The following is a 27,869-nucleotide window of genomic DNA, read 5'->3' as shown; positions in this document are numbered from 1 at the left end:
TTTGTCAAAGTCATTCTCTGTCCAGGTTTGTTCCATTGCTGGTGAGGAGCTGCATTCCTTTGGAGGAGAAGAGGCGCTCTGATTTTTAGAATTTTCGGCTTTTCTGCTCTGATTTATCCCCATCTTTGTGGTTTTATCTACCTTTGGTCTTTGATGATGGTGACGTACAGATGGGTTTTTGGTGTGGATGTCTTTTCTTTTTGTTAGTTTTCCTTCTAACAGTCAGGACCCTCAGCTGCAGGTCTGTTGGAGTTTGCTGAAGGTCCACTCTAGACCCTGTTTGCCTGGGTGTCACCATCGGAGGCTGCAGAACAGCAAATATTGCAGAATGGCAAATATTGCTGCCTGATCCTTCCTCTGGAAGCTTCATCTCAGAGGGGCACCCAGCTGTATGAGGTGTCAGTTGGCCCCTGCTGGGAGGTGTCTCCCAGTTAGGCTACTCGGGGGTCAGGGACCCACTTGAGGAGACAGTCTGTCCGTTCTCAGATCTCAAACTCCGTGCTGGGAGAAGCACTACTCTCTTCAAAGCTGTCAGACGGACATTTAAGTCTGCAGAACTTTCTGCTGCCTTTTGTTCAGCTATGCCTTGCCCCCAGAGGTGGGGTCTACAGAGGCAGGCAGGCCTCCTTGAGCTGCGATGGGCTCCACCCAGTTCAAGCTTCCTGGCCACTTTGTTTATCTACTTAAGCCTCAGCAATGGCAGACGCCCCTCCCCCAGCCTCGCTGCTGCCTTGCAGTTTGATCTCAGACTGCTGTGGTAGCAGTGAGCCAGGCTCCGTGGGCGTGGGACCCTCTGAGCCAGTCACGGGATATAATCTTCTGGTGTGCCGTTTGCTAAGACCGTTGGAAAAGCACAGTATTAGGATGGGAGTGTCCCAATTTTCCAGGTACCGTCTATCATGGCTTCCCTTTGCTAAGAAAGGGAATTCCCTGATCCCTTGTGCTTCCCGGGTGAGGTCATGCCTCGCCCTGCTCTGTGGGCTGCACCCAGTGTCTGAGAAGCCCCAGTGAGATGAACCCGGTACCTCAGTTGGAAATGCAGAAATCACCCATCTTCTGCGTTGCTCATGCTGGGAGCTGTAGACTGGAGCTGTTCCTATTCGGCCACTTTGGAACCTCCCCCAAAACTTTAAATATTACATACATGGTGCTTGTTCAAAATGCTTTTACATGCATTTAATATACGGACAACTGTTTCATGCATAACTTTTTATCAAATTACAGCCGTGGAATGACAAGTTACAAATGTTAAGACAATGCTCAATCGCTTATACTACACTTTCAATGAACAGTATGTACAGTTTCTGTTAATGCCTTTATTTTCTATTATGTTTGTTCTGATTGCATACATTGAAATGCAATTTTACATTTATTTGAAACTAATAAAAAATTTGGGCTTGTATTTTGCACATATTTTCCCCATTTTTCTACTAATTCATTTTTACTGTATTTTATAGAAGTACCTTTTACTGACAGATTGGAAAAATAAAGAACCCATTCTTCCCCACGGATAATCTAATAAAGAACCTGTTCTTCCCCACGGATAATCTGGGAAGCTGCTCTAAGAGGCTCATCTAGAGGCAGACAATAAAAGGGTAGAAAGAATGAGGGCCCTGAAAAAAGCTTCTGGGAAAGTAAAAACCCGAACAAAGTTTCGATAACTAAGATTTTTTTCCTGGTTAAATACACTCAACCTGTATTTGGGGTGAGTGTTAGCCGGGTACAAAGGTAGACAAAAGTTCCGAGTGCCGCCGCAATCGTCTCCCACAACATGGGTCTGAGCTACTCAAAATGAGATTTGCCTTTGGAGAAGAGTTAAGGAGCAGGGGGCGTGGCGAGCAGCGTGAGATCATCGGGAAGCGCCGCTCGTGGCGGGGGCAGAGCCGGCGCGTCATTGTCGTCATCGTTGCCCGACCGCTTTCCGGGAGACTGGAGTCGAAGGCCGTGAGGTATTTTTCTAAGGTGTAGTTTCAGTTTTTCTCCTGCTCCTGTTTAACTCCGCTTTTCCTCTCCTGGGATTCCCCTGTCATCCTCTGGGCAGACTGAGAAAATCGGAGTTTGGCTGCGTAGCCTTCCAGGAATGCAGTCTCTCACAGCTCTTCGTTGGGGCAGCATTGTTGGCAGGTCCCCCACTTCCGCTTGTTTTGGGGCTGCTTGCAGGCTTTGGCTTACCCCGGCCCCTCATTTCTCTCTTTTGCTCCGGTCTCTCTCTTTTTCTTCGTTTGTTAACCACCCCCTTCTCAAATCTTGGAAGACGAAGAAATTAAAAACAAAAATCAAAAAACATTGAAGTCTTCACAATTTTCAGCTGTTTTCAATCTTGCTTAGGGAGAGAGGCTAAAGTGGAACGTCTAGGGGAGTAACTTTACTGTGTTAGCTCCGTTTATCATTCACATTCACAGACTGCCTGCTGCTGCAGTATTAGCTCATCTGAGATAGTGGGCTAATTTCGACCTTTAGCTGAAATCTGTAGTGGGTAATCCAAGAGAGCAGTTTTTCTTGATGACCCGGATAAGTTCAGTGTAACTCAAACTTGTTTCAAAATAGCTTTAATGTCCTCAATGTTTGCTGACTACAGTTCAGTTTTGGCTTGATAAAGATGTATTTGTCGCAATGAGATGTTTGCTATCCACTTATTAACCTATTAGGACTGTCTGATGGTGGACTGAACCAAGACTTAACCGTGATTTTTTAAAAAATTAAATTTAAAAATTTTGTGGGTACATAGGTGTATATATTTATGGGGTACACGAGATGTTTTGATACAGGCATGCAATATGTAAGAATCACATGGAAAATGGGGTATCCATCCCTTCAGGCACTTATCCTTTGTGTTACAAACAATCCAGTTATACTTTTAGTTATTTAACTCTGTATTTTTGATTCAAAAACAACAGATTAGCCCTATTGAAGTACAGAGAAATGTTTGTGTTTGGTGGAAATGATAGAACTCATTGTTTTGTTGAAAGATAGTGACAAGTGTGAATAACGGTTTTTCAAAATAAAATTCTCAGTCAAAAGATACTACAGCTGCCTTCAGTTAGCTGTGTTGTATGTATCACAGTTCAAAAGTAATGTAATTTTTTTCTTAACTGCTTTTACCTTTTCAAATGGCTCTTCATATGTATTATCTCAGCTACTGTTTCCAAAGTTGACCCTTCAAGCATGGCTCTAAATAGTTCACATTGGATTAGAGTATTTGGTAATTTTCACTTTTAGTAAAATACTATCTAATGTATTGAGTGCTAACTGAGCCAGGCCCCGTTCTAATGGCTTTTATCTAGTTTATTTAATCTGTGCAACAACACTATATACTCTTATTTCAGAAATAAGATAATTGTAATAATCAACTTCCATATGTTTTGGAAGGTAATTTTGCTGCTTGATTGCTGTAATTTTGGAAATGCTTTGAATTAAACTTTGAATAGAAGTGAATTTAATTTAATGTAATTGTTCATCTCAATCTTGAGCAATATCCTCGTAATTTATATACTCTCCTATTAGACTTTGGGATAAATTTATTTTTAGATGTTAATATATTTTTTAGAAAAGGAAGAAGTCTATATTTACTCAGGAATTGTACTGTGGGACTGAAGGAGAGTTACAGACAACACTAACATGGAGTCACTGTTTGCCCAAGACAGCAATATTTATTGAGAACTTGTGTGTACATTTCATTGTTATTTTCTCCTAAGATAATGCAGTGCGAAAAAGTCATTACAGTAATTCATTACAGTAATAGAATTCTGGTGCAACAACAGCAAATGGCTCTCAAATTCCAAAAAACAATCATGTTGGATTTGTTCTTTGGCTTAGTTCATAACTGTGTATAATTATTTGGTGTAGAGATGGGAAGAGCCCTGGAATGTACATTATCGTATGTTTGTTTGGATCCATGTGGTGACTTTCTAGTATCTGTAAGCTCAAACTGTAATCTGATATTAAGAGTTTCCAAAATTACGTCTTAGGTTACTTTGATTGGTTTTAGTTAGTAAACAAATAGTTGCTAACTAACTAATACATGACAAGACATTATGTTAGTGATGTGGAGTTCAAAATGTGCCTCGACATGAATCTTCCCTTGAGCAATAGCCCAGTGAGTAAATAACCAATGGAAAGGTAGGAGGAGAGGAGTGACATGATCTGACTTAGGTTTGTTTTATTTTATTTTATTTTACTTTATTGTCTTTTGTTTTCTTTTGTTTCCTTTCCTGCCCTGCTCTGCCCTTGCCCGCCCTGCCCCACCCCATCTCGCCCCTCTTTTCTTTTGGAGTCTCACTCTGTTGCTCAGGCTGGAGTGCAGTGGCACAATCTCGGCTCACTGCAACCTCCGCCTCCTGGGTTCCAACGATTCTCCTGCCTCAGCCTCCGGAGTAGCTGGGATTACAGGCACCCGTCGCCATGCCCAGCTAATTTTTTGTGTTTTTAGTAGAGTTAGGGTTTCACCATGTTGGCCAGGCTGGTCTCGAACCCCTGACCTCAGGTGATCCGCCTGTCTCAGCCTTCTAAAGTGCTGGGATTACAGGCGTCAGTCACTGCGCCCAGCCTGACTCACGTTTTAATAGAATCTTCTCTGGCTGCTGTGTTTAAGAATAGTTTGCTGTGGGGTGGGGTAGGTGAAAACCAGGAGACTAATCACGGAGGTGTTGTAGTTCAGATGAGATGATAACATCTTAACTGGCTGGAAAGAAGTGAAGGTGGAGAAGCAGTTTAATTTTAGATGTATTTTCTAGGAAAAGCAAACAGAATTGCTTACAGATTGAAAGTGAATTGTAAGAATAAGGTTATTGTCAAAGTTTGGGGCTTGAGCAACTAGAAGAAGGGAATTGCCATTAACTGAGAAGTAGAAAACTGTGGGAGGGGCAGGTTTGTGGGAAGATTCGGAGTTCAGTTAAGGACATGATAAGTTTTTGATGTCTGTTAGTCATCTAAGTGGAGATGTTGAGTAGGCAGTTGAATATGTTCATTCTGGACTTCAGAGTGGTCATTGCTGGAAACAGACGTTTGGGAATTGTCAGTGAACAGATGGTATTTAAAGTTGTGAGACCGGAGACAGTCGTTAAAGGAGTAAATGTAGACAGAAAAGAGAAGGGGCACAAGGCCTGAGTCCTTAGGCATTTTAACAAGTTGGGAAAATGAGGAATAACCACCAAATGAGACAGACTGAGCAGCCAGTGAGGGACAAGGACAATTTTGAGTCTGGTGTTGTAGAATTTACAGTAGAGTAGTATGTTCAGTTTTGTCAGGTGCAGCTGATGGATCAGGTGAAATGAAGATTGACACCTTTGGATTTATCAAGAACTTAAGGAGTGTTATTGATAGATATGTGATAATGTTAAGTCAAGCAGATAGTTGCACACCAGTGTGATAACTGTATTACAGTTATATTCAGAGAACCTTGGGAGCAGAGGAAGAAGAGACCACTTTTGTTTGGGAGGTATGGACACCTTTATAGAGGAGGGAGCATTTGAGGTGGGTTTTAAAGGATTGATAAGTTTCACTAGGCCAAGAAAATGGAGACTGTTATGAAGAGGAGGTTGATATGATTTGGGTATGTGTCTCCTCCAAATCTCTTGTTGAAATGTCACTTCCAGTGTTGGAGGTAGGCCTAGTGGGAGATATTTGGGTCATGGAGGCAGATTGAATGTCTTGGTTTGTCCTTGAGGTAATGAGTTGAGTTCTCACTCTATTAGTTCACTCCTAGAGCCGGTTGTTTAAAAGAACATGGAAGCTCCTCTTTCTCTTGCCACTTCTCCTGCCCTGTCACATGCCTGCTCCCCCTTTATCTCACCAAAAGCAGATGCTGACACTATGCTTCTTGTGTAGCCTGCAGAACTGGGAGCCAAATCTAACCTCTTTTCTTTATAAATTACCCAGCCTCAGGTATTCCTGCATAGCAATGCAAAACGGAGGAACACGGGTATTCCAAGTAGAGGGAAAGGACTATGACAGGACCTCAATTCCCTTCCTTCATGGTCACATCTCCCAGTTAGCTGTTTTAAAGATGCTTTTGTCAGTCCTCTTTCCTCTGTGGCCACTTGCTAATGCCCCATGTTCGGTAGCTCCAGGCCTGCTGAATGTTGCTAAGGAAATCGGAGATTCTAGTCACGTGGAGTAGTGACAGGAACAGAAGTTGAGTGTGATGTTGGGGAATAGGGTAAAGATGGGAGTTAAGGCTGGAAGGGTTAGAGGAATAGATTTTCAGGGAGGAACAAACCTTATATGTTGTATTAAAGATTTTGTCCAGAGAGCATCCCACACAAATCCACTGATGGGATTTGTGAGGGATGTTCCTCCTCCATTCGATTTGAGTTCCATTCTGCCGAACTTTACCACTTACCAGCCCTGTGACCTGTTTCTGTTGTGCCATCTGTAAAGTGAAGCTAATATTAGTGCCCAGTCGTAGAGTTGTGAGAACTCTCTCTGCCCGCACTACAGTTTTTGTCTGCTTAATTCATCTCTGTCATCGAGTGCTTTCTTGAGGAAGCTTTCTGTCTTCCCTCAGATTGTCATGTACACTAGTTTATAGTCTCATAGCATGATTTATTTCTTCATATTACTGTTGTAATTTTATATTTCTGTGATTCTTTGATTAATGTCTATCATCCACACTAAACAGTAAGTGCAGAGCAGGCAAGTTTTTGCTCACTATTATCTTCCAAGTATCAGGGCTGCCTATCATGGAGGCTAATTAAATATCTATTGAATAAGAGAGTCCTTAGTGTCTGGCATGTGGTAAATGCTCAGTAAATATTACTCATTTACATGACATTTTGCAATAAGTGCTGAGGAGGTATCAGGGATAAATAAAGGAACTGTCAGGCAACTGACAGAGGACCTGTTGCAGTTGGGTAGCATTAATTTATGTCTTTTGTGAATTTCGTTAGGAATGAATGTTCAGTAGGCCTAGAGCTAGAATGGTTGGCTGGGGGCAGAAAGAGAAGATGAGAACTTGCAAAAGCATCTTTAAACCAGTTGACTGGGAGGTATGGCCATGTAGCAAGCAGGCCAGAGGAGGCTTTTGTACCATGAGAATAGAGGAAAATAGCCGCCTGGTGGCTAGACAATTTAGGTGTAGAAAACACATTTATATGGTTCTTTGAATGTAACAGTGGTAAAGAATATAGGTTTAGTTGTTGCTGCTAAGTAGGGGGAAATGACATTTTTATCTGGTATGTTTGAGAATAAAGTAAATTTCAAAATTTGAGATGATCGAAGTTTTTATTTATAAACTTAAGTATTATTATAATATGTTACATATTTTATTCTTTAAAAATTGTAATTCAGAGAGTGTAACAAAATGTACTTCCTCACTTTCTTGCTTTTTGTTTCCCAGAAGTGACCACAGTTAACAGCTTCTTTTGGATCCTTTAAGAAAACTTACATGCATATACCATACAAATATGCCTCCACATTCATATATCTTTTTTTCTTCAAAATAAATGGGATGAGCTGGGCGTGGTGGCTCACGCCTCTAATCCCAGCACTGTGGGAGGCTGAGGCAGGCAGATCACCTGAGATCAGGAGTTTGAGACCAGCCTGGCCAACATGGTGAAACCTCATCTCTACTAAAAATACGAAAAAAAAAAAAATAGCAAGGTGTGGTGGACGCCTGTAATCCCAGCTACTTGGGAGGCTGAGGCAGGAGAATCACTTGAACCCAGTAGGGGAGGTTGCAGTGAGTTGAGATCGCACCACTGCACTCCAACCTGGGCAACAAGAACGAAACTTTGACTCAAATAAATAAATAAATAAATAGGATGTATTATACATGCTGTTCTTCAACTTTTGTTCACTTAATATATCTTAGGAATCTTTCTAAGCTGTACCTCGTACCTTTTCACTACTGCAGAGTATTTTAATAGGTGGGCATATCATAATTTATTTAACCAGGTTCTAATAATGGATGTGTGGGTTGTTCTGTTTTAAAGTTTACTGTTTTAAAGATCATTGCAGTGGAAGTCCTTAAACATTATCTTGCGCTAAAATATACTTTGAGAAGTAAAATTGCTAGGTCAAAGCATGTGTACATATGTGATTTTGAAGCATAGTGCAGATTACCTCACAAAAATGCTAAACTAATTTATACCCTGACTAATAGTGAATGGGAGGCTGTTCTCAGCTCACCTTTGTCCATTTTAGTACTATTAATCTTTTTAATTTTTCCCTATTTGACAGATGAAAATGGCATCATATTTTAGCGATTTATGTTTCCTTAATTATCAGTAAGGCTGAGTAGCTTTCTTTATGCTTATTGGTCATCTGGATTATTTGTGAACTGTTGATTTTCTTGTTTATTTTTCTTTTGGGTTGTGTGTACTTTTTTTGTTATTGTTAAATTGATTCATAGAGGCTTTAAAAAAATCTTTGTGTTGCATATGTCTTTTTTTAGTTTTTTATTTGACATTAGTCTTGGGTGTTTGTTTATTTGTTTATTTTGCCTGCATTTTTAAGGGCCAGGTAAAAATACAAGAAATTAGGATTTTTTTTTTAAAGAAGGGAATTTGCTGGGCTCGATGGCTCACACCTGTAATCTCAGCACTTTGGGAGGCTGAGGTGGGCAGATCACAAGGTCAGGATTTCGAGACAGCCTGGCCAACATGGTGAAACCCCGTCTCTCCTAAAAAAATACAAAAATTAGCTGGGCATGGTGGCACGCACCTGTAAAAGGCAGGAGAATTGCTTGAACTTGGGAGGCAGAGGTTGCGTTGAGCTGAGATTGAGCCACTGCACTCCAGCTTGGGCGAGACAGCAAGACTCTGTCTCAAAAGGATTTTTGTGATACTCTTGAAATAAATAGACACTCTAGAATGTGAGCCTTTTGTTGGAAATGTTAGTAATACAAACTTCATTTGAGACTATATGTTCAGCAACTATCACAGATGTAGTGAGCACCCAGTAACCTTCCTCTCCCTCACTCCAGTTATATTTGGAATTGAAATGAGATGTAATGGAGCTGCTTAAATATTCTAGACGACACCTTCTCTTTAGTTATTCTCCTATATATGAACGGAGTTGTATTCTAAAAGCTAGTTTGTGAGTTAGCCATCTAATTTCACTATAGAAATAATGTACATAGGTTCTTATCTTTGCTCTCAAAGTTGTAATAATTTGTGGAGGCTACTTTTTTTTTAAGCAAATTCAAAATGTTACATAATTTTACCCCTCTATACTTCAGTGTGCATCCTCAAAAGACAGGGAAATTTTCTTATATAACTGTATTGCTATTATCATAGATGACAGAATTATCAATAATTTGTTGGTGTCATCTAGTACTTTGTCCATGTTCAGATTTCTTTCTCACAGAACTATCTTTTTCCACTTGGTTTATTTGAATCAAGATCCAAACAAGGTCTGTGTATTTCATTTGGTTGTTACATCTCTTAAATCTCTTCTTCCTCTGTCTTTCTTCCCCCACTTTTTTTTTTTTGCTTCATGCTGTTGACTTGTTATGGAAACCTGGTCAGTTATCCTGTAGAGTACTGTATTTCTCACTCCATATTTGTTTGCTTTCTTGTGGTGTTAATTTGTTCCTCTATCCTTTGGATTTCCTATAAAATGGAAGTTAGCTCTGTAGGCTTAATTGTTCAGATTCAGCTTTTTTGGGAGTTGGGAATGCTTTGCAGATGGTGCTGTGTATGTTATATTGCCTCACATCAGGAGGTTCATAATATGTGCATTTCACCTACTTTTAGTGATCTGTTGGTGGTCATTGACTAAACCTACAATTTCATTAGGCGTTGCAAAGTCGTGATTCTTTTTTAAGTTGTCATTTCTTCTACATTTGTTAGCTAGAATTTGAAGTCTAGTTCTGTTACTTGGGAACCTGATAATCAAAATAAGCTTGTTGTGGGAAAGTATTGTCAGAGCAACAATATTTTTGATGCTAGGAATGCATCTTAGTGCAATAGTCTTTTTTTTTTTTTTAAAAAAAAAAGAAAGGATGTGGGCCTTGCTCTGTTGCCCAGGCTGGAGTGCAGTAGTGTAATCATAACTTACTGCAGCCTCGAACTCCTAGACTCAAGTGATTCTCTCACCTCAGCCTCCTGAGTAGCTAGGACTACTGGTGTATGCCATCACGCCCAGCTAATTAAAAATATTTTTTTTTTTTTTAGAGATGGGTCTGTCTGTGTTTCCCAGGTTGATCTTGAACTCCTGGGCTCAAGTGATCCTCCTGTCAGTCTCCCAAAGTGTTGGAATTACAGATGTGAGCCATGGTGCCTGGCTGTGATTGTCTTTTTAATGTTTCAACTTGGTTTGGCTGTAGCCCCCAGATATTTAGTCAAACATGAATGTAGGTGTTGCTGTGAAAGTATTTTGAAGCTATGATTAAAATCCATAATCAATTAAGTAAGGGAGATTATTCTAGATCATCTGGGTGGGCCTGATTCAATCAGTTGAAAGGCTTTAGAAGCAGAGCTGAGGTTTTCCTTCCAAAAAAGAAGAAATTCCACTTGTAGACAGCAGTTTCAGCTAGTAGCCAAGAGTTCCAGCATGAGTTCCTCCCTTCATAGCCTGCCCTATGTAAACCAGTTTCTTGCCATAACTCTCTTAATATATATCTCCTACTGGTTCTGCTTCTCTAGTTGAAACCTGACTGGTGCAAAGGGTAACTCCTCTGATGCTTCTGTTCTCCAGCTAAATGGGATGGGAAGCGGTAGTAAGGGTCAGAGAACTTGCATTGTTTAGGGTAGCCATATAATTTTTTGTTCAAACTGGGACTTCTGAGAAAGAAAGGAGCTGAGTTGATGGCAAGCTGAAACAACAGGCGTAAGGTGGAACTGTCTTGGGCAAATTGAGAGTTATAGTCACCTTGTGTGTCAGCCACTGGGGATACAACATGAATATGACACAGCCCCTCAAGGAGCATGTAGTCAAAGGAGAAGTCAAGTAAATAAAAATACATTAAGAGATAGTGTTTTAAGTGACATGACAGCTTATAGTTGTTGTATTTGTCCAGACAGAGAGCATAGAAGGAGAGCATGCAGAGAAGTCTTCACTGGCCGAACTGGAACCTATTTTTTACCTCCAAAGATAAGCAGCGTTTGAAAAAAGTGGAGTTGGAAGGGCATTTCAGGCTTAGAGAATCACACAGGTGAAAGTTGAGAGTGAGAGAGCACGGCACATTTGGAAAACTGCCATCATGGCCACAGCTCTAGGATTGGAAGAGGGGAGCCATGAAAGATGAGGTTAGGCAGACAAGCAAGGGCCACATCATAATGGGCCTTGCATCTACGCTGAGGGGTTTGGAACTGTCTTCCATGTGGGAGGGAACTGTTGCAGAATTTTAAACAGAGGAGTACCATGACCAGACTGTTTAAAGCATATTTTGTAATATTCTAAAACTGGGAGTGGAGAAAAATTGATAATAGGGACACTACTCAAAGGCTGTTGAAATAATCTAGTCAGTGAGAATAGAGGAAAGCTTGTGGTGTAAGGAGATTAAGGGAGCCATATTGACAGGACTGATTGGATTTGGGGTGCCTCCCAGGTTTCTGCCTGGATTGGCCACCCTGAAGTGGAGAATTAAAGGAAAGAGGTAGCTGATGACTTCAGTTCTGTATGTGATGCTATGCACTCTTGTTTTCTCCTATCGGTACTTTGGCTTCTGTATAACCAGTGAGAGGAAGGACTGAGTGGCAGTAACATCTGTTAGGGTTACTGGGCAGCATCCCCGCAACCCAGGTACTCAGTCTCAGCCACACCTTACTGAGTGGTGAAGAGAAGCAAGTTTTCTCATGCCCTCTCCGTCTGTCTCTACCTCTGCAGCCAGTGTTTTAGAAGGAGTATGTGGAAGGGCAAGGAGTACCTATAGAACCCCGGAGGAGGGTGAGGAGCAGAGCTGGGTGAGTTCTTTTCTTCTTTGGAAATTTTAACATGTACAACTTTAGGCATGTTCTTTAACTTCTTTTGGCTCAGTTTATTCATCTGTGAGGTTTAGATGAACAAGTGCATGTGGAATGCTTAGAGTAGTGCCTGGCACATAATCAGTGCTATTCAAGAGTTTGCTGCTGATATCGTAGAGTCACTGCTTGATCCTGGGGTCAGAGTAGCTAAGGGGACAGAGGGAAATTTCTGCGCTTTTTCTGTGGAAGGAATAAATACTCAGCAGCTGCCTATAATAAAGTGTTAGTAGAAATCAATTGAATTAGGAGGAATTTCTCATAATAGAAGAGCCTTTATTTTTTAGTCCCCCTTGTCTTTATTTTTTTAGTTAGGGAAAAGGCAAGTGGCTCAGTTCAGATTTAATGAGGGCAGTTATTCTTACTTACTACCATGCTTTCAGTGTTCACCCTAACCTGTTCTAACAATAAATAACTGCTTGTTTATTGGGGCTTAGGGACAGGGAATAATTGCAGGAAAAATCTCTACTATGTTCTTCTGAAGAAAGGAAATATTTTCTCGTAGGAAAATTTGATGAAAAAATTCACATTTAAATAAAGACCTTTTTTTGTTTTTTAAAAATACATACAGTATTTGTTAAGAGCCAAAATACTTTATTAAGTGCCTTTATTTGTTTTTTATTAAAAATTTAATATGTGCTTTTTGAAATGTAAACAATGAAGAATGAAGAGTTAAAAAAATGAGTCTGCTTTGAACCTATTCCCTAATCCTTGTCTCTTTTCAGAGAAAATGTCTATTTTTTGTATGTTCTTTCCAGACCTTTTTCTACATGTATGTATATACAATTTTTTTTTAAAAACCAAATGGCATATATTAGGCACATTATGTGTTATATACAATGTTCTCTGTTCTCTGACTTTTTCCTTCTCATTGTGTGTCACTATATATAGATTTACTTCTTTATTTTTAGAAGACATGTAATATTCTCAAGGATGAATATGGTGTAATTCATTTAACTGTTTCCCTGTCGATGAATATCTAGATTATTTCCAATATTTTGTTATAGTTTATTTCAACAAATGTATTGACTGTCAGGCAGTGCTTGTGAACGGATCACAAAAATTCCTGCTCCCATGCAGTTGCCTTTTGGCAGTAGACCGGCAACAAATAAATATATGTTAGTTGATATTGAGGAATGTAAGGTTGGGGAGGAGATAGGGAGTGTGGGGGAGGGGTGTGCATTTTAAAATGGGGTGGTTAAGAGTGAGATACCAATAGATGACATTTGAGTGGAGATCTGGTGAAGGTAACATAATGAGCTCTGAAGGTATTGGTAAGGGAGGAAGAGAGGAATAGAGTATTCTAGGAAGGAGAGAAGCCCAAAGGGAGGTAGGCATGTGCCTGATGTCGTGGGGGAAGAACAATGTGGCTGGAATGAAATAAGCAAGGGAGAGTGGGAGATGAAGTCACAGAAGGTGACGGGCAGTCAGGGCAGATTGTGTTGAGCTTTTTGAACCCACTGTAAGGATTTTTAAAAGATAAATAGTTATTATTTTTTGATTTTAAAAATAGAGTTGGGGTCTTGCTGTGTTGCCCAAGTTGGTCTTGAACTCCTAGGCTCAAACAGTCCTTCCATCTTGACCTCCCAGAGTGCTTGGATTACAGGCATAAGCCACTGCACCCAGCCTATAAATATGTATTTTAATTATAGATATGGGGTCTTGCCATGTTGCCCAGGTTGGTCTCGAACTCCTGGGCTCAAGCTGTCCTCCTGCCTTGGCCTCCCAAAGTGCTGGATTTACAGGCATGAGCCACCAGGCCGGGCCCACTGTAAGGATTTTTGTCTTATGTCGAATGAGGTGGCAAGCCTTTGGAAGTTTCTGAGCAGAAGCATGGCATAATCTTATTTACATTTTGAATGGTCTCTCTGTATTCTTGATAATAGACTTTGGCCAGAAGCAAGAAGGCTATTTAGGAGGGCATTCAGGCATGGTTTGGACCAGGATAGTGGTTTGGTGGTTTGGACCAGGATAGTAGCAGTAGAGGTGGTAGGACATGGCTAGATTCTGGGTGTGTATTAAAGATGAAGTGAGAGAGAGTAGTCAAGGATCACTCTGAAATTTTGGGACTGAACAATTGGAAAGTTGAAGTTGCCGTGAAATGAAATGATGAAAACTGCAGTAGGCAAGGTTAGGAATTTGGCTTTGGGCACGTTCTGTTTGAGAATTTATTAGACATCCAACCAGAGATATTGAGTATGCAGCTGGAAATGTAAATATGAAGTTCAATGGAGAGGTCAGGTTTGGAGAAACAAATGTTGGAGTCTTCAGTTTACTAAAGCAATTTAAAACCCTCAGTTTACCTGGGAGTAAATTAGAGAAGAGAGTCAGGAACAGCCTCTGGGCACTTCAAACTTGGTTAAGGGGCTGAGGATGTGAGAAGGATGCATCGAAGAGACCAAGAAAGGAGCCAGTGAGATAGAAAGGAAACGGAGAAAACCAAGAGAAGGCAGTCAACAGTGTCACTCAAGGAGAACTGAGAATTGACCATTGAATTTAACCATGTGGTAGTGTGGGTGACCTTGCCAAGTGCAATTTTGAGAGAAAAGTAAGGTATGTTTGTAGGAGATTTGAGAAAGGATGGAAGGAAAGGAATTAGAGACTGTTAGTATAAGCATCTCTTTTGAGGAGTTTGTTGTAAAAGAGAGAAAATGGGGCCTTAGCTGGGGGGTGATATGAAGTCAAGAAATTTTTTTTTTTTTTGTTTCTTTCTTAGATGGAGAAATAAAACATTTAAACTTATGGGTAATAGTCCAGCAGACGGACAGTTTGATACATGACAAACTGGAGTAAGTTTAGAGACAAGTTTGAGGAGGACATTTTAATTTATAAGCACATGTGCAAGGATTTTTATAGGCTAGATTCTTAAAAGGATTTCCTGAGTCAAAGGGTATGTGCATTTTAAAAACCTGTACCAATTTATATTCCACTTTCAGTGTATACCCTTTCTAACACTGAACATTCTTAATCTTTAAAATTATTGCCAATCTGATAGGTGATGATATCTTCATTATTTTAATTTGTTTTACTGCTTTCTAGGAACTGTTTATTTAGTCTATCTAATTCTTTGTGATATTTTGTCAGATACTTTCTCCTGGCTGTCTCTTGCCTTTTAACTTTGCTTATGGTATCCTTTTACCATGTACGACTTTTCAAAAATGTTTTTATGCAGTTAAGTTTGTCAGCCATTTCCTATAGCATTTGGGTTTCATTTAGATGATGTAAATATTTGATATAATCTAATATGTTTATACGTTTACATTTTTAATTCATTTGGAGTTTATTTTTGTGTATGTTATGAAAAAGGTTTTCCATCTTTCTCTGTATTCTTAAACAGCTAAATACCATAGGAGTTAACTGTTTCTTGAAGGTTTGAAAGAAATTACCTGTAAAATCTAGGACTAGAACCTCTTTGTAGGGTAGGTCTTTGACTACTGTGTAATTCTTTTTCTGTGGTTAATGATCTGTATGGTTTATGTACTTCTTTTTAGTTTTGGTAGTTGATATCTTCCCAAGAACATCATTGTTTTCATTTACATTTTCAAATTTATTGGTTCAAAATTCTACATAAAGTGAGAAAATAACCAAGTCTTCTTTGCAGTATATCCCTATACTTATACCTTTATCTAGGCAATAAATGCTAGAGCTGTCCTTTCACAGATCTGGAAATTAGGTTAGCTATTTTCAGCGCTTATGGCTCTGTTCTTGGAGTTATTTCTAAATTCTTATTCTCTTTTGTTTGTAAGGTTTCTTGGCTTTGTTTCCTGTTTGCAGTCTGATCCCATTTGCTCTTTTTTTTTTTTTTTTGAGAGACAGTCTAACTCTGTTGCCCAGGCTGAAGTGTAGTGGCACAATCTTGGCTCACTGCAACCTCCACCTCCCAGGTTCAAGCAGTTCTCCTGCCTCAGACTCCCAAGTAGCTGGGATTACAGGCGTGCGCCACCACGCCTGGCTAATTTTTGTATTTTTAGTAGAGATGGGGTTTCACTATGTTGGCCAGGCTGGTCTCGAACTCCTGACCTCAGGTGATCCACCTGCCTCTGCCTCCCAAAAGTGCTGGGATTATAGCGGGAGCCACCGTGTCCAGCCCAATTTGCTCTTTAGCTTACACAGTTTCTACTGTTGAAGTCTGCTGGTAGATCTGTGCTTTTCTTGGTTTCCAGCATTTTTATTTTCATGTTTTTCTATTTCATCTGTCATATTGTAGGGATTTGGGGAGGGATGAGCGGCAAGTGCATATTTTCAGTTAACCTTTTGAAATTGGAAATCAGTTCTTTTCTGTGTAGTTTTGTTTTCTTATCGCCTTAACTGCTGGTTGCACAGTAGTTGGATAGTAACTTCACAACTCAAGTAGTAATAGATAGACTTCACTTTATTTTTTTAATGAAACCAAATGTCTCAGTGGAATATACTCATTCAGAAAAAATGTTGATATGTTGTCACTAAATATTTAAATAGTACTTTTCAAACTTAAAAGTAATCATAACATTTAGAACTATAAGGAACTTTACAGATCATTAGACCAGCTGCCTTATTTTATGGATGAGGACTTTGAGGCCAAGAGAGATTCAATGATTTATCTCAGGTGACAAAGTCAGTGATCAAGACAGAAAGCCCAAGTCTCTTTACTTCCATTCTGCAATGCTATTTGCTGTCATACACATTCATGCTGTTCTCCTTACCTATGTGATAAAGGAGGTATTTCTGTTAATACAAAAAAAATTTTTTTTATTCTAGAGATGTTACCTATGGCTTGGAATTGCTTCTAAAATTTGGACTTAGATACTTTAATAATACATTGATATAGGTGAATTTTTAAAGCATGGGCTGTCAGAGTATGCACTAGCACAAATGAAAACCATATTGTTTATTTCCCCCAAGTTTCCTCTTTTCTGCTTATGGGCTTTATATGATTTATAGACTCTTTGGATTTCTTATTAATATTTTAAAGAAGCTTAAGGAATATAAATATATATAGGCTTGAAAAATGATTTCTGTGATACGTATTTTAGACCTAAGATTTTTACTTTTTTAGTTGAATATAATATGCTCCTAGATCAACACCTATATTTAGAAGGACTAAAATACATGTTTTTCTAAAAAAAGTGCTTTGCTTACCATTTCTTCAGCAATCATTAGGGGATCTATTTATCAAACTTTAATTGCTTTGCTAATTCAACAGTTTTTAAGATGTAGGATTTTGATTATTGCTATCTCATGTTTGGTCATCATGTCTTTAGTTCTGTAAAAGTTCTGTAAAAATACAAAAAAATTACCTGGGCATGGTGGCAATGGGCCTGTAGTCCCAGCTACCCAGGAGGCTGAGAGGTGGGAGGATCGCTTGGGCCCAGCAGGCGGAAGTTGCAGTGAGTGGTGATTGCACTATCCTGGGCGACAGAGGGAGACCCCATCTCAAAACAAAACAAAACAAAAATGTTGAGGGTTTGGTGTGCATAGCATTAGTGGGCTTCGGTTGGTTCTTCTTCCACAGCCCCCCAAGAAACTTAAGAAGGGGACAAATTGGAATGTAGTTAATCTAGAATTAAATTTTAAAAAGATTTGTCTTCAGGTTTTAACTCTTAGTGCCTTTGAAATACATGATATGACCTATTGATTTTTTTTTTTGGAAACTAAAGAACAAGCTCTGTCTCTAATATGAATTCAAAGAATTTAATTTTTTCCAGTCAGCCATAATGGCAGGTGAAGAAATTAATGAAGACTATCCAGTAGAAATTCACGAGTATTTGTCAGCGTTTGAGAATTCCATTGGTGCTGTGGATGAGATGCTGAAGACCATGATGTCTGTTTCTAGAAATGAGTTGTTGCAGAAGGTATTTTAAAAATGTAATTTCCTAAAAATGAATTTCATAAAACAGAATGCTATTTTATGAAACATGTGGAAGAAGAAACAGATTAATGACCTATGCCCCTTTTCCCCTTTATTTCAATTTTATTAGTGTTTGGGTATTTTTAGGGGGGAAACAAAACAAAAGAAAACTCCAGCCTTAGGAAATACCTCCTAACTATGTTTTTAACTTAGTTTTGGAAAAAAAAAGGAGCACTCACGGTATTCTTTTTGACAGACTCTATCTTTGACCTTTTAAGTATTACAATGATGTTATCAGGGTTTCTGGAAACCCTATAGGACAAAAACAGTAAATTGACTTTGACAGTCTAAAACAAATCTCATTATGTTTCTTCTGTCTTTCGTATTGCCTAAGCCTGCTTCTTATACATAAATGCATCATGTACAATGTTTATATTGATAAATTACTTTTGACTTACAAAGCCCAGATCGTAACTCCCGAAATTAAAATAATTCAAAAGAATTTTTCTTGGGTTATGCACTTTCCTTGTCTAACTAAAGATGATACCCTAAGGTGAAAATGTGTGGACAAAAGTCACTCATTAAGAAAACTTCTTTTTACAAATTATTTTCAGATCATTTGGTTATTGGATTATATGAAGTGAAAAAAACTTCTTTGATACATTGTACTTGGTAAAAGTCAAATGTTATCAGATGGTGTTCAAAGTTTGTGTATTTTTTTTCTGTCTCACTTTCTCTCTTTCCCTCTCTCTTTCTTTTTTAACAGTTGGATCCACTTGAACAAGCAAAAGTGGATTTGGTTTCTGCATACACATTAAATTCAATGTTTTGGGGTATGTGTGTTACTTTGGAATTAATTAGAAAGCAAATTACTTATTGTGTGAAAGATGATTTATTTTTAAAATGCTAACAATTTATTTACAATTATACTTTATAACACTTTTAATAGATACTTATTTTTAAATCTAGATGCCAGTGAGCCACACATAGATTTAGTATTACATGGAAATTGAATAATTTAAAGTTTAATTGTTTGTAGGACTTTCCTTTTTTGTGAATAACTAGTTTCTTTAATTGGAATGTTTTAAATTAATACATTCACCATTTTATTCCATGAAATTTTTCTCTTGTAGTTTATTTGGCAACCCAAGGAGTTAATCCTAAGGAACATCCAGTAAAACAGGAATTGGTAAGATTTTAATTTCTTTTTATTTTATGTGTTTGTTGTTGTATTCCTGAGGTTTGTCACACTACCTTTGTCACACAAATTAGGGAGAACAGAATTCGAGTTGAAATTATGAAAGTGAGCCAGACCTTATTATCTTTGGGTTTTTTTTTCTCTTACCTTTTTCAGATAATTGGTATTCCATATATTATATAAATCTCGGAATGGGAAAATGTTACGATTCTAGTAATTATTTATAACTTACATATTATTTTTCTTATAAATTCTTGAAATCCTGTTTATCTCTAGAACTACTTTTTTTTTTAAACTTCTGTACAGTTCTTAAAAGTATATTCTAGTTGATTTACTAGCAAAGACGGGAAAGTTTCTCCCTCCCACCTTTTCAATTCCTCCATTAATTCATTTTCTCAGCAGTAAAGAATCCAGTTCAGCAACAAAGCTAAAAGCTTTTTTGGCACCAGCTGTATGTGTACTGTCCAGTAATTCTGCATTAGACATATTTACAACCTGTAATAAATCTTCTAGGTTTGTCTTTGTATTCCATTTAGATGTATAAGTACAGTATATAAGGTCTGGTATCTTGGAGTTTTTGCTGACTTCAAAAATTAAATCAAATCATTCAATTTGAAGAGAAAAATTAGAAATCAAACTTATGGTTACCTTCTTGACTTGGTTTTATGAATAAGAATATTAATAAATTGATTCTTTGTGTTTATAAAATATAAGGCAAATATAGATATGAAATACACTTGACATTGTATTCTTGTTCTCAAGTTTTAGGGTAGTTGATATGTATGTTATTTACAGCTTAGTAAAGCACTTGGTCCTTTACTTTTTAAAAATGAGTAAGCCAGATCTGTTGTCTTCAGTTTTTCAACATGTAGTCTAAGACATTTCCTTATTTTGAAGTTCTTGGGGGGGAAAATAAATTTATTTTTAAATAAAACAATTGTGAAAAATATTTAAAGCAAAAGTATAAAGCAATATGATATGCAGGTCTTGGTTTGACCAGTGATACGGCTTTAAACCTTTAAAATGATGGCTTGTATCATCTGTTTTCAACTTCCTAATATAGACTTTGCATACAATTTCTCTTTTTTCCATTAACATGAAGTTATTTGGAATACTTGATACTGTCTTTGTGAAAGGACAAGGTCATTTGTTTTCTTTCTACCTCAGAATCTACTTTTGAAGTAGTACATTAATATTCTAGATAAGGGTTGGTGAATAAAAAGCATGCATAAACCTCTTCCCCTTTTCTTTTTCTTTTTTTTTCTTTTTTTGAGATGGAGTCTTGCTCTGTCGCCCAGGCTGGAGTGCAGTGTCGTGATCTTGGCTCACTGCAAGCTCCACCTCCCGGGTTCACACCATTCTCCTGCCTCAGCCTCTCGAGTAGCTGGAATTACAGGCGCCTGCCACCACGCCCAGCTAATTTTTTGTATTTTCAGTAGAGACGGGGTTTCACCATGTTAGCCAGGATGGTCTCGATCTCCTGACCTCGTGATCTGCCCGCCTCGGCCTCCCGAAGTGCTGGGATTACAGAGCCTGTTCCCCTTTTCTGACCTTGCGTAGATGTTACTAATTGATCACAGACTTAGTGTATGATAGGAAACTTATTTGCCGTATGTATCACAAATGGGAAAAGTCAGTTTACTCATTCAACAGATATTTGAGTGCTTACTGGGAGCTAGGCATTATTTCCAAGTGAGAGATGATTCCTCTGTGAGTAATGCTGATCCCTGCCCTTGTGGCAGACACCAGACTGTATCTAATGGAGGGAGACAAATAATAAAGTAAACAAATAAGAAATATATATGAATATGTAGTATGTTGGAAAGTTATGGGAACAAAGAAAAAGAGTAGGGTAAGGGGGACTGGAGTGCTTGGATAGGACTGCAGTTTTAAATGCTGAAGTCAGGGCCTCAATGACAAGGTTAACATTTGAGTAGACTGGAAGGAAGAGAGGAAGTGGCCGTATGGGTAATTGAGGAAATATCCTTCTAGGCAGAGGAATAAGCAGGGCAAAGACCCCAAGGCAGGTTGGTGTGTGTGTGCTGTAGCTAGTATCCACCATCATAAGCACTGTGCTTTTTTATTCAGACAGAAATGGGACGTCACTAGAGAGTGTGGAGCAGAGTTGCCAGTCTTTCACAATGAAAACATTTTAAGATTCTGCATTAACTATGTTGATTATTTTAATAAAGCTTGTTTTTAAGCAGTGATCAGTCTTTTACTCTGCTGTTTTATGGCTGTCATCAACTTTATTTCTTCATTTGAAGCGTAAGATAGCCATTTATGCTGATTAATTGTCTCAGAAGATTCACAGTGGTACAGCAACATATTATGTTTCTCACCCTGTAAAGTCTGATTAGAACTGTATATTTTATTAGAAAATTTCATGTACTTACCAAAATTATAAAATTGAATAATTTGTATTTTCATTCTCCCTAATTGTTACACTAGATGGTAATGTGAAAAGATAGTTAAGTACTACCTCATGTATTTCCTGTTTAGAAAAATTTCAGGAGAATTTAGTTTGTATTTTGCAAGTATATGAAAGCTCCGGTTTTTTACTTTAGATACAAAACAGTTAATATGTAGATTTATGTTAATGGTGTTTTTCAAAAATGTATAACCACCTAGAAACTTTCAATTCGATGTTTATTTCTGGAGTAATGTCTTAGTGTGATTCTAACTCTTTGGAAACAGAAGACTTCTGAAATGACTTTTTAACATCTGTCTTTCCCCACCCTCCGACTATGAACTCCAGGCAAGCAGGGAGCGTATTTATCCTATTCATTTGCATTTCCTAGCACCATGCACTTTAATAGGCAATAAATACATATATGTTGAATTTAACCAAGGTGTACAGTATAATAAAATTCAGTGGTGGCGAATAGCTTAGTAAATCTATTGCCTTTGTTTTTTATCTTTAAGGAAAGAATCAGAGTATATATGAACAGAGTCAAGGAAATAACAGACAAGAAAAAGGCTGGCAAGCTGGACAGAGGTGCAGCTTCAAGATTTGTAAAAAATGCCCTCTGGGAACCAAAATCGAAAAATGCATCAAAAGTTGCCAATAAAGGAAAAAGTAAAAGTTAACTTTTTGGTTTTGATGTACACATATTCAAAAAGTACATCTTCCCCCCCCCCCCCCCCCCCGCAAAATAATTCTGTGGCAGGGCAAGGTTTAAATGTGTTTCTTATTAATATGTAAATTCACAGTAAATATGTAAAGCTAAATACTTTCCTCTCCAAAGATCATTATCTTTATTGATTAGCACTGAGGATTTTAACATTGTGATATATTATATATTTATAATTTACCATCTCTTGATGAGACTCTTATTTCTTTATATAGGTCAGTCTTGCAAGTACCATTTTATAAGCAGCTGTGAAATTTAAGTGAAATGTTCTTTGTAAACATTTGTACTATTTTAAATGAATAATGACCTTATGAAGTATGCTATCTGTAGGCTGAAATTATAGGTACATCTGTTTTCACTATATGATATTAAGAAAGCGTGAAATGACTTAAATGTTCATTTTTTTCTGTATAGATACTTTATCATGTTTTCATGATTTTAGGAATTACTGCTTTGTTGATATTCAAAGTGTGAAACTAAAACTTTATGGTTGTACTTTAATTCTTGGCATGTTGCCTCTATGTCCCATTTAAAATAAAATACATTCTCATTAACTTTAGATGGGAAATAAGGTTGTATGTTGATGGATGAATTTTGGCATGATGACTGTACTCTCAATAAAGGCTGAAAATGTTGTATAACTGACCTGTGTATTTTTATCTTTTGAGTAAATTTGCCTTCCAAATTAGGAAGATAGGTTTTAGAAGTCATCACAAATAGAGAAATTCTTGAGTTTTTGTTCCTGATGCATGGTGTCCACAGTTCTTTTCATCTCATTTTTTTTCAGATTTTTTTTATTTCATGTTTTTGAGGCTGTATCAAGTACATACAAGTGTTTTGGAACAACTTCTTAAGTTACCTAATGCCACTTAAGCAGATGAGAAGTCCAAAGGAGATTACACTGTGTTTGTATTGTGGTTTATTTTTCTGGAATATTAGTTACAGAGAGTACTACATAGTAAACCTTTTTTTAAATGTCTAAGCCCATGAATTTTAATTATATGCCCTTAATGCTTTCAGTGTTTGAATCCATATCATTATGTGTAGGAATGCCAAGTATAGTAAAGTACTTTAATTTTTGAAAAAGGAGTTGTTAAAATTTTCTGTGTGATTAATTCTCCATAAGTAACCTTGAATAAATGGATTTCTTGATTTATGATAGCAGATATTGGAAATGGTCTTAAAATGTAATGGATTTTGTAAAGCATGTTGAACTCTTTCTATGACACATGAAGAGGAAGTCACTGATAGACGCAGAAGGTCTTTTCTGTCTCTGATGTCAGTTTTTGAAGTGGAAGAACATTAGTGAACATTTATAGTTATTTTACTCCTTTTTTTGCCTTTGTCTCCAAATTTCTAGCTATTTTTAAAAATAACCTCTTCATGAGAGAAATGTGTTACTGTTAAGATCAAGTGTAGTGTACCTGTCTTTGTGTTATTTATTGCAAAGAAATTTATTTGGATTTCTGTATATTTTCTAATTTCATAAAAGAAAAACAGCTTAAATGAAAAATGTTATACAATTGCAGAAAATCATTATTGGTTTTAGCTAAGTTATTGGTTTATGAAAGTGCACCTCTACGTTCTGTTAAATTGTGTAACTTTTAAGTGAGTAATTCTTTCATTATTAGGTAGAAATAAAAGTTTGAGTATATTCCATTTTATTATGTATAATTTTAAATACTTAGCACGTAATAAGGAGCTGAATGGCTGTAGTGCATTGGGTTGCTTATTTGCTTGTTGTTTGTTTATTCTTTTGACAAATATACTTAATGACATTTATATTGCCAGATACAGTGCTAGGTGCAACGTTCCAAAGACGATAACTACGGCCTTTATCCTATCTTTATAAGGTGTTAAGAAAAAAATAGTCTTTTTATTCAATTCAGTTTCTCAGAGTTATGGGAAAATTTATGACAAATTGTGCTCATTAACCTTATTCAGAACCATAAAGGGTGATGTGTGTGGTTGATCTATTTGACTATGGTGCAGTTCTTGTTAAAATAGTTTGTTCCACATGATAGTCTGCTCTAAGTTTAGATGTTAATTACATCTTTTATTAATCTCTTTGGGAATTAACAAGTTGGAGAAGTTGCATCTATAGATATTTTTAAGATTAGAATTATAGTCTATTAATCTTGTACTAAATAATGAGATCTTGCATTTTAATATTATTTTAAGTACAAATTTTTTCTTGTTCATAGTTGTAAGGTGGGAAATCCTTTTAGTAAAACAGAATATGTTGAGTGAAAAATTGAAGCTTGAATTATGTTACATTCCTGGAATTAGGAAGTTATGTCAGGTTGATTAGTTTTAAGATACCCTGTAGATTAAAAAATCCTTCTACTTAGCAATTAGAAATGGATTGGCATTATTTCTAAATAAGGTATTTAAAATTGACCAGAAGTGTAGGAAAGACTTCAAAAATGGACAGCGTATTGAATGTAAATACTTTTTTCTTAAGTAGGTCACTGGAGAAAAAGATACTTTAGGAATCACTCAGTTTATCATACAGTTAAATTATAATTTTATTCAATAAGTTACCAGAAATTCTGGCTTTGCAAAGTGACATTAACTAAGAAAGATGTGAACAGTGACTCAGCCTCATGTAATAGCTAAATTTGGTATCTAAAGGGAAGAAAAAGCACTGATGTCTCATTTTCTCCCTTCATAGCATAGTTAGAAAACCTGCTCAGATAAATTCAGTGGCTCTTTTCCTGAATGATCTTGGTAGCAACGTATTTTATATCAATGTGACGTGAACATAATTTACAAATATAAACATCTATCTTTCCCTATATTCTGATCTAAAACTCTCCAGTTTTGGAAATACAAGCCATATTTTGTTCATATATTAGCATTTTATAGTTGTCATTAACAACTATGTTGGCAGAAAGTATACAGGATTTTATAATGGAATTCTGTAGATTTGTTTCATTTGAATAATTTGCTATTATATTACCTGTTAGCGGGCTTTCAAGAAAATGATTTGAATGTTTTTTGGTTTGCATATTCATTTTCCTATCAAAGTGGGTGTACAGCCATAGACTACTCTTTAGAATAGCCACCCTCTGACTTGATGTGCCTTTTTAAAGTGCTTATTTATGGCATAACTTTTTATTATTCCCTCAAGAAGTCTGAGATTATGGCATAATTTTTAACACAGCCAGAAAGATTAGTAAAGTGTTCAGAAAAGAGAGAGCTATAGTGATAGCTATTGGCAATTGAGGTTTAATTTTTAACTTTATATCTCCCAACTCCCTGCCCAGCTAGAAACCTAAAGCCACCAGCTCTGTGTTAGTCATCTGTTCTTAAAAGGTTGAAACGAGATGCTGGTTTTTACTCCCTCTCCCCACAATTAGCCTTGAAGTTTAGCAAATCTATCATAGCAGAATAACTGTATGCAAGATGTCAGTTTTGTAAAGTGATATATTTCAGACAGTATACAAAATTTGATGGGGGAAAAATAAGCTTTTATAAATGAAACATTTAAGAGACTCTTTTATTATTTGCTTTTCAGTTTAGTGTTGCCTTTAAGGTGTACCATTTCAGTTTGGCAGCTGCAATAAATGAAGAAAATTGAAGATGATAATTCAGCATTTCAAGATGCTTCTGCTGAAATGAATGTAGACCTATCCAGAGCTTGAATTTCAAGCTTACAGTAATACAATATTTTAAAGCCAAGTACCCAGGCAATTCATAGTGATATGATTTGAATGAGATTATTAGGAGGAAGAGAAAGAATGCCTTCAATTTCTTGTTATGTAGGTATTATCTATTGAGATGCTATGTTGAAAAATGTTATTGTAAAAAGAATAGAAGCTTGTTATACCCACTTTGTTATAGAGTACAATTTGTCTTGGACCTTACACAAAAAACTTTAGTTATTAAAATAGCAAAATTAGAATCACCTCTGATTTAGTGCTAGAGCATTGGATTGCCTATAGACCATGTTCTAATGTGTGTCTGGTATTTTTTTTCATTTGATGGCCTTTAATCTCACTAATAATGCATTCCTTACTTAAACAAATAATTTGCTTCCCTAGTTTTGATACTTTATTATTTTTCCCTTAAGAAAGAGATAATTATTTAAAAGTTGCTGGATTTTGTGGGTTTTGACATTTGTGACTTTTAACACTTGTGATTTTTACTATTTGTGAGTGACTTTTAGAGGTCCATGGAGTATAGAGTTATTTTGTAATTTTGCCAAGACATAATCTTAATTCCTGCTAAATTCCATGCAGGAAGGCATTATTCAGCTAATGATTTAGCTTGGCTAACCTCTTAGCATCCACAGTTTTTTTTTTCCCTCACTTGCAGTCTCATTCATTTATTCACTCATTCATTCAACAAATATTTATTGAACTCCTGTGTACCATGTTCTGTTTTAGGCATAGGAGATTCAGCAGTTATCCAAACATGGTTGTAGTGGTTGGGAGCTGTCAAACTTTTTATCATGTGATAAATGGCTTCTATGGCGTGAATTATGTTCCCCTAAAATTCATACATGGAAGTCCTACACCTCAATACCTCTTAATGTATCCTTATTTAGAAATAAGGCCATAGTAGATGTAATTCATTAGGGTGGATCTTAATCCAATATGCCTTTATAAAACCGGGAAATTGGGACACAACATGCACACAGGGAGAACACCTGTGAAGATTAAGGCAGAGTTTGGGATTATGCTTCTGTAAGCCAGGGAATACCAAAGATTGCCAGCAACCACCAGAAGCTAGGTGAGAGGCCTGGAACAGATTCTCATAATCCTCGGAAGGAACCAACTTTGCTGATCCTGTGACTTTGGACTGCTAGCCTTCAGAACTGCCAGACAGCACATTTCTGTTGTGTAAGCCACCCAGTTATTGATACTTTGTTATGGCAGCCCTAGGAAACACACACAATGGCCATTATTGAGTGGACACGATTGAGAAGATTAATAACTTGGATGTGAAAATGTGTGTAAAAATCTTTGGCACAAGATGAAAGTGTAATTCTGAAGAAAACCAGGAACCTGGGTAAAGTTATTCAAGAATACTTTTGAATTTGGGCAAAAATCTTGGAACTTACACCTTGAAATGTCAAGGGTCTGTTATACTCTTTCTGAAGCCAAAATGTTCAGACCTTTCTAACATACTGTCAGTTATGATTGAGTGTTGAGTATGCCATCTCTTAATCTTTATCTTGCTTGAAGAAATTTACTTAAAACCCTGTCGGGTTTCCATGGAGAGGAGATTTTCACCATGCCTATTATCATCTGCCATGTGATCTTTCCCTAATGTAATGCAACAGTCAGGTTCAAATAACGAAAATCCTGAAAAAAATCTGCCAGAATATGTGTATAATTTGTCCTCTTGGATAAGCACACACCACTTAAAAAATCGCGTATTGGATTCATCCAGATAGACATTTTTAAAAAATGTGTATGTGTCTATAAATTCTTAACTGTATAGTGTGATATTCAGTTTTCTTTATTTTTTTATTTTTTGAGACGGAGTCTCACTCTGTCACCCAAGCTGGAGTGCAGTGGCGGGATCTCAGCTCACTGCAACCTCCACCTTCTGGGTTCAAGCAATTCTCCTGCCTCAGCCTCCCGAGTAGCTGGGATTACAGGTGCCCGCCACCGTGCCCAGCTAATTTTTGTATTTTTAGTAGAGATGGGGTTTCACCATGTTGGCCAGGCTGGTCTCAAACTCCTGACCTCGAGTGATCCACCCACCTCGGCCTCCCAAAGTGCTGGAATTAGAGGCATGAGCCACGGCGCCTGGCCCAGTTTTCTTTCTTTAAAGTTAGGCATTAGACAAAATTA

General features: G+C 37.3%; 1 protein-coding gene across 4 annotated transcripts, besides 3 other annotated features; it reads left to right on the top strand.

The window, feature by feature from the left end:
- Positions 1,136 to 2,335: an enhancer, noted in NCBI's record as "BRD4-independent group 4 enhancer chr2:68289704-68290903 (GRCh37/hg19 assembly coordinates)". NCBI's record gives its function as "activates an origin of replication core promoter dependent on BRD2, P300/CBP, MED14 and CDK7 cofactors, and independent of BRD4, by STARR-seq in HCT116 cells {active_cell/tissue: HCT116}" and the evidence as "EXISTENCE:reporter gene assay evidence [ECO:0000049][PMID:35650434]".
- Positions 1,552 to 2,052: an enhancer, noted in NCBI's record as "H3K27ac hESC enhancer chr2:68289987-68290487 (GRCh37/hg19 assembly coordinates)". NCBI's record gives its function as "activates a minimal SCP1, AML or CMV promoter by ChIP-STARR-seq in naive H9 embryonic stem cells {active_cell/tissue: H9 hESC(naive)}" and the evidence as "EXISTENCE:reporter gene assay evidence [ECO:0000049][PMID:30033119]".
- Positions 1,805 to 2,214: an enhancer, noted in NCBI's record as "active region_15941". NCBI's record gives its function as "activates an Ori minimal core promoter by ATAC-STARR-seq in GM12878 lymphoblastoid cells {active_cell/tissue: GM12878}" and the evidence as "EXISTENCE:reporter gene assay evidence [ECO:0000049][PMID:35858748]".
- Positions 1,903 to 23,777, top strand: C1D (C1D nuclear receptor corepressor). Of its 4 annotated transcripts, none has more exons than NM_001190263.2 (6): positions 1,903 to 1,949; positions 11,770 to 11,846; positions 17,588 to 17,734; positions 18,497 to 18,563; positions 18,864 to 18,919; positions 21,854 to 23,777. In NM_001190263.2, the coding sequence occupies exons 3-6, from the start codon at positions 17,597 to 17,599 to the stop codon at positions 22,016 to 22,018; spliced, it is 426 nt and encodes a 141-aa protein (NP_001177192.1). In that variant the 5' UTR covers positions 1,903 to 1,949; positions 11,770 to 11,846; positions 17,588 to 17,596; the 3' UTR covers positions 22,019 to 23,777. The 4 variants fall into 4 exon arrangements, with proteins under 4 accessions (NP_001177192.1, NP_001177194.1, NP_775269.1 ...); NM_001190265.2 differs by having other exon boundaries at positions 1,903 to 1,962; NM_173177.3 differs by lacking the exon at positions 11,770 to 11,846.
- The last annotated feature ends 4,092 nt before the right edge of the window (positions 23,778 to 27,869 follow it).

Source organism: Homo sapiens, chromosome 2 (genome assembly GCF_000001405.40).
Source record: "Homo sapiens chromosome 2, GRCh38.p14 Primary Assembly".
NCBI lineage: Eukaryota > Metazoa > Chordata > Mammalia > Primates > Hominidae > Homo > Homo sapiens.
Note: the sequence above shows the minus strand (reverse complement) of the source record. Positions and strands in the feature narration are given on the sequence as shown.